The 4,632-nt window shown below is 44.9% G+C and overlaps 1 pseudogene across 1 annotated transcript, besides 1 other annotated feature; it reads left to right on the plus strand.

Annotated features, from left to right (window-relative positions):
• Positions 1–213: 213 nt before the first annotated feature.
• Positions 214–1,917, plus strand: LOC440311 (NOP53 ribosome biogenesis factor pseudogene; annotated as a pseudogene). Its single transcript, NR_077061.1, has one exon. The product of NR_077061.1 is annotated as an NOP53 ribosome biogenesis factor pseudogene (transcript).
• Positions 803–1,303: an enhancer, noted in NCBI's record as "H3K27ac-H3K4me1 hESC enhancer chr15:95399181-95399681 (GRCh37/hg19 assembly coordinates)". NCBI's record gives its function as "activates a minimal SCP1, AML or CMV promoter by ChIP-STARR-seq in naive H9 embryonic stem cells {active_cell/tissue: H9 hESC(naive)}" and the evidence as "EXISTENCE:reporter gene assay evidence [ECO:0000049][PMID:30033119]".
• Positions 1,918–4,632: the final 2,715 nt, after the last annotated feature.

Genomic DNA, 4,632 nt, shown 5'->3' on the forward strand with positions numbered 1-4,632 from the left:
CAACAACTTTTCTAATCCTTCAAAATCTCGCCTTCCCGTGAATACATATGAGATACCTCTTTCCCACCATGGCTGCTCATCTCTTAGTCTTGTATCTTGTTATATCTTATTTGTTACATATTCTTGTATTTATTTGTTATATAAAGGAGATCCACATTGTGAATTAATGAACTCAGTGTTATGCCAAATTTTACTATTCATAGCACATTTTTCATGTTTCTGGTAGATATTTTTAAGTAACTTGATATAATAGATTAAAATGTATATATTTCAAAAGAGAAAAGGAAGCAGTAAGAAATAAGATAGAGGAGGGCCTTTGACAAGATGGCGGCAGGAGGCAGTGGCGTTGGTGGGAAGCACAGCTCGAAAAGCGATAACGATTCTGGTTTCCTGGGGCTGCGGCCCATTTCGGCGGACCCAGCGCTGAGGCGGCGGCGGCGGCGAGGCCCAAGAAATAAGAAGTGGGACTGGCGGAGGCTTGCGCAGGAGCCGCTGGGGCTGGAGGTTGACCAGTTCCTGGAAGACGTGCGGCTACAGGGGCGCATGAGCGGTGGCTTGTTGAGAGAGGCCCCAAATGAAAAACTCTTCTTCGTGGACACCGGCTCCAAGGAAAAAGGGCTAAGAAGAGAACCAAAGTCCAGAAGAAGTCACTGCTTCTCAAGAAACCCCTTCGGGTTGACCTCATCCTCGAGACACATCCAAAGTCCCTGCCCCCAAAGACGTCCTCGCCCACCAGGTCCCGAACGCCAAGAAGCTCAGGCGGAAGGAGCAGCTATGGGAGAATCTGGCCAAGCAGGGCGAGCTGCCCCGGGAGGTGCGCAGGGCCCAGGCCCGGCTCCTCAACCCTCCCACAGCCGGGGCCAAGCCCGGGCCCCAGGACACCGTGGAGCGGCCCTTCTACGAACTCTGGGCATCAGACAACCCCCTGGACTGGCCATTGTTTGGCCAGGATGAGTTTTTCCTGGAGCAGACCAAGAAGAAAGGAGTGAAGCGGCCACCACGCCTGCACACCAAGCCGTCCCAGGCACCCGCCGTGGAGGTGGCGCCTGCCGGAGCTTCCTACAACCCGTACTTTGAAGACCACCAGACCCTGCTCTCAGCGGCCCACGAGGTGGAGTTGCAGCGGCAGAAGGAGGCGGAGAAGCTGGAGCGGCAGCTGGCCCTGCCCGCCACAGAGCAGGCCGCCACCCAGGAGTCCACGTTCCAGGTAGCCGTGCGAGGGGCTGCTGGAGGAGTCAGAGGGTCCGGGGGAGCCAGGCCAGGGCGAGGGGCCGGAGGCTGGGGATGCCGAGGTCTGTCCCACGCCCACCCGCCTGGCCGCCACAGAGAAGGAGACGGAGCAGCAGCGGCGGCGGGAGAAGGCTGCGCGCAGGCTGCGGGTACAGCAGGCCGCGTTGCGGACTGCCAGGCTCCGGCCCCGGCACCGGGAGGTGTTCCTGCTGCGCGGGATCAAGGCCCAGGTGGCCCTGAGGCTGGCGGAGCTGGCGCGGCGGCGGAGGCAGCGGCAGGCACGGCGGAAGGCCGAGGCTGACAAGCCCCGAAGGCTGGGGCGGCTCAAGTACCAGGCACCTGACATCGACGTGCAGCTGAGCTCGGAGCTGGCAGACTCGCTCAGGACCCTGAAGCCCGAGGGCGACATCCTTCGAGGCCGGTTCAAGAGCTTCCAGAGGAGGAATATGATCCAGCCTCGACAGAGAGCCAAGTTCAAACCCAGGTACAAGGTGAAGCTGGGGGAGAAGCGGGCGTTCCGCGAGATCCAGTTGTAGCTCCCATCAGAGGCCGGAGCCTCGCCTTTCAATAAAAAGTCCCTTCTAGCTAAAAAAAAAAAAAAAAAAAAAGAGGAGGAAGAATTGCAAATAAAATGGCAGGCATAGTTCTAAGTGCTTTACATATGTATTCACAGTAAACCTTCGAAAATAATACTATTATTGGCTTCATTCACATGAGGAAACTGAGGCTCAGAGAGAAAAGTTAGGCAACTTTTCTGGATTAAATGGTTAAGTGGCAGAAACAAATATAAACTAATAAAATCCAATTTTAGATGCAGTATAACCCTGCTGTCCAGTTATACAGATAGGTAGAATTGGTGAGATTGAGGAATTATCAATAGAAAACAAAGTAAAGAGAATCACAGAGAAAAATAAGGCAGGAGAGGCAGAGAACAAGTTAGACGCCTAGAATATAAGAATAGAACATGTTGGAAAACCTGTAGATTTAGGGATAAGAGAGACCTTGGTTGACATGAAAATTAAATGACTTAGCTGAAGGAAAATTAATTATCCAATTAATGCTTGTTTCTTCCTTTCTTTCTGAATTGTTAGGTGAATTATCCTTGCCATACTATGTACATTTTCTTCCTTGAGGAGAAATCTCCTCATCTCAACTGTATTGTGCTGAGAAATATAGAGCCAGAATGCTAATGCAGAGGTGAATGATCCATTTACAATCTGCACCAAGTGTGCATGCTTTTGTGTTTGTTCATATGCCTCTGTGTGTGTGTGTGTGTGTGCGCGCGCACATGGGTGAGCGTGTGTGTGTTGATGGGATGGGGGGTTATGCTTCCATCCCTTTATTTAGGACAGTTCTTTTCTCAGGTGAAAATATACTGAGTGGATAGAAATCTCCTCTCATTATTTCTGTGTATCATTGCTCTTCTGCCTCAGAGGCTCATCTAGGGATAGAACTGTTGTTGACCAATATTCTTCTTTGAACTCTGCATCTACTTTTGTATGTTTTTGAATACAGCAGTAGGAAAGTGAAGTTGGAAAAACAAAAGTTCATAGTTTTCTGCTTTCATACTCCTAATTTGAGCTCACTAGGTTTTTGTTTTGTTTTTCACTAAATCTGAATTAAACAGAATCGCTAGGTTTTTCTTATTGTTTCACAAGACCTGTACAGCATTAGAGTTAAACACAATCACCAACATTAACTTATTACCCAGTGAAAACGTTTCTGTGTTTAACATTCCAGATAGACATCACCAAGTCCTAGATTGATAGGAAACCTGGGAGTCGTCTGGGCCAACCTCCTGTCTGAGGCTGGATTCCCGAGACTCATCTTGAAAACGTGAAAAAGGACTCGCTATTTTACAAGACAGACCACCTCATCAATAAAGAGTTTCACTTCAAATCCAAGAATGTGAAGAATTTAAAGGGATTTCAGTAGTCATCAAGCATTCCCTATCCTTTTCATAAGATCTCTGGCACTCATCATGCATTCTACTTGAATTTTTTCAATAATAGGACACTCACTAATGTGTGAGACAAGCCTAGTATTTCTATAAGTTTCTCCCATCTCTGAAAACTGTTCTTATGACCTCTTCCCACACCTAAAAATCTCTTCTCTGAAGACCATGTGTTACTCATTTTATTAACCATTTCTCTTTCAATATTGTTTTAAGATCTCTCATTGTCTAAATTGTCATTCTCTGCATGATTTATGTAAGGTATAGAAAAAGGAATTTGGCACAGTAAATACCTCAGGTGTGTTTGACAAATACCACGTAAGAACACGGGATGGAGAGTTAAGGCTCATCTACTCACCAGCTGTACAGCTTTAAAATGATCACTTAGTCACTTTCAAATACAGAGCATTCTTTGGGGTTGTTCTGGGGCACAATTTAGCCAAAACATTCAAGAATATCACTGTTAAGTCTCTCAATATAGATATTCAAGTTTTTAAAACACAGCCAAAATGTGTGTGATTCATTTGTTTGGCTGCTGATGTTGTGTGTTTGGTTTCATTTTGTATTCACTGAAACTGCAGGCTCACATGATACTTCCAGGTAACCAAAGCCTTGGATTTTTTTTTAATTCACCTTTTCAGATTAACATGAAGCAAATTTCACTCTTTTTGATGTGCATTAATAACCACTAACTCAATCAGGATATTAAAGAGTCTGTCACCATCCCCATTCCCCTGTGCCACTCTAGAGTGAACACCCCACCCTCCACCCTCTACCTGGCAGTTCCTGGCAACCACTGATGTATTATTTTCCTGTAAATTTGCCTTTTCTGGAATGTCATATGAATGGAATCATGCAATATGTAGCTTGTGTCCAGGTCTTGGCAACTTTGGTAAAGTTGCTATAACCATTGTGTACACACTTTATGTAAGCATAGATTTTATTTCTTTATGGTAAATGCCACAGAACAGTTGCTAAGTAATATATGCTTAGCTGAATAAAAAACTCAAACTATTCTCCAAAGTGACAGTATCATTCTGCATTCTGCATTCCCACAAGCACATATGAAGAGATATTCTATGTAACTCCTTATTATTATTTTAATATTCATGAGATGAGTGCAATGACCTCTTTTATTCCTGTTGTTGGTAATTTATGTCTTTTCTCTTTTTGTTAGGGTAGGTTGGCAAAAGTTTGATACATTTTGTTGATATTTTCAACGAAACTGCTTTTAGATTTATTTTCTCCATTGTCTTTCTTTTTTTAGTTTTATTGATATCTTCTCTACTGCTTCTTATTTCCTTTTTTAATGCTTTTTCTAGGTTTAGTTTGCTCTTTATTCTTTAACTTCCTGAGGTGGAAGCTTACATTATTGATTTTTAGATATTTCCTTTTTCCTCTTATGTGCTTTTAGCGCTTTACATTTCCCTCTAAGCATTTCTTCCGCT

Source organism: Homo sapiens, chromosome 15 (assembly GCF_000001405.40).
Source record: "Homo sapiens chromosome 15, GRCh38.p14 Primary Assembly".
Classification (NCBI taxonomy): domain Eukaryota; kingdom Metazoa; phylum Chordata; class Mammalia; order Primates; family Hominidae; genus Homo; species Homo sapiens.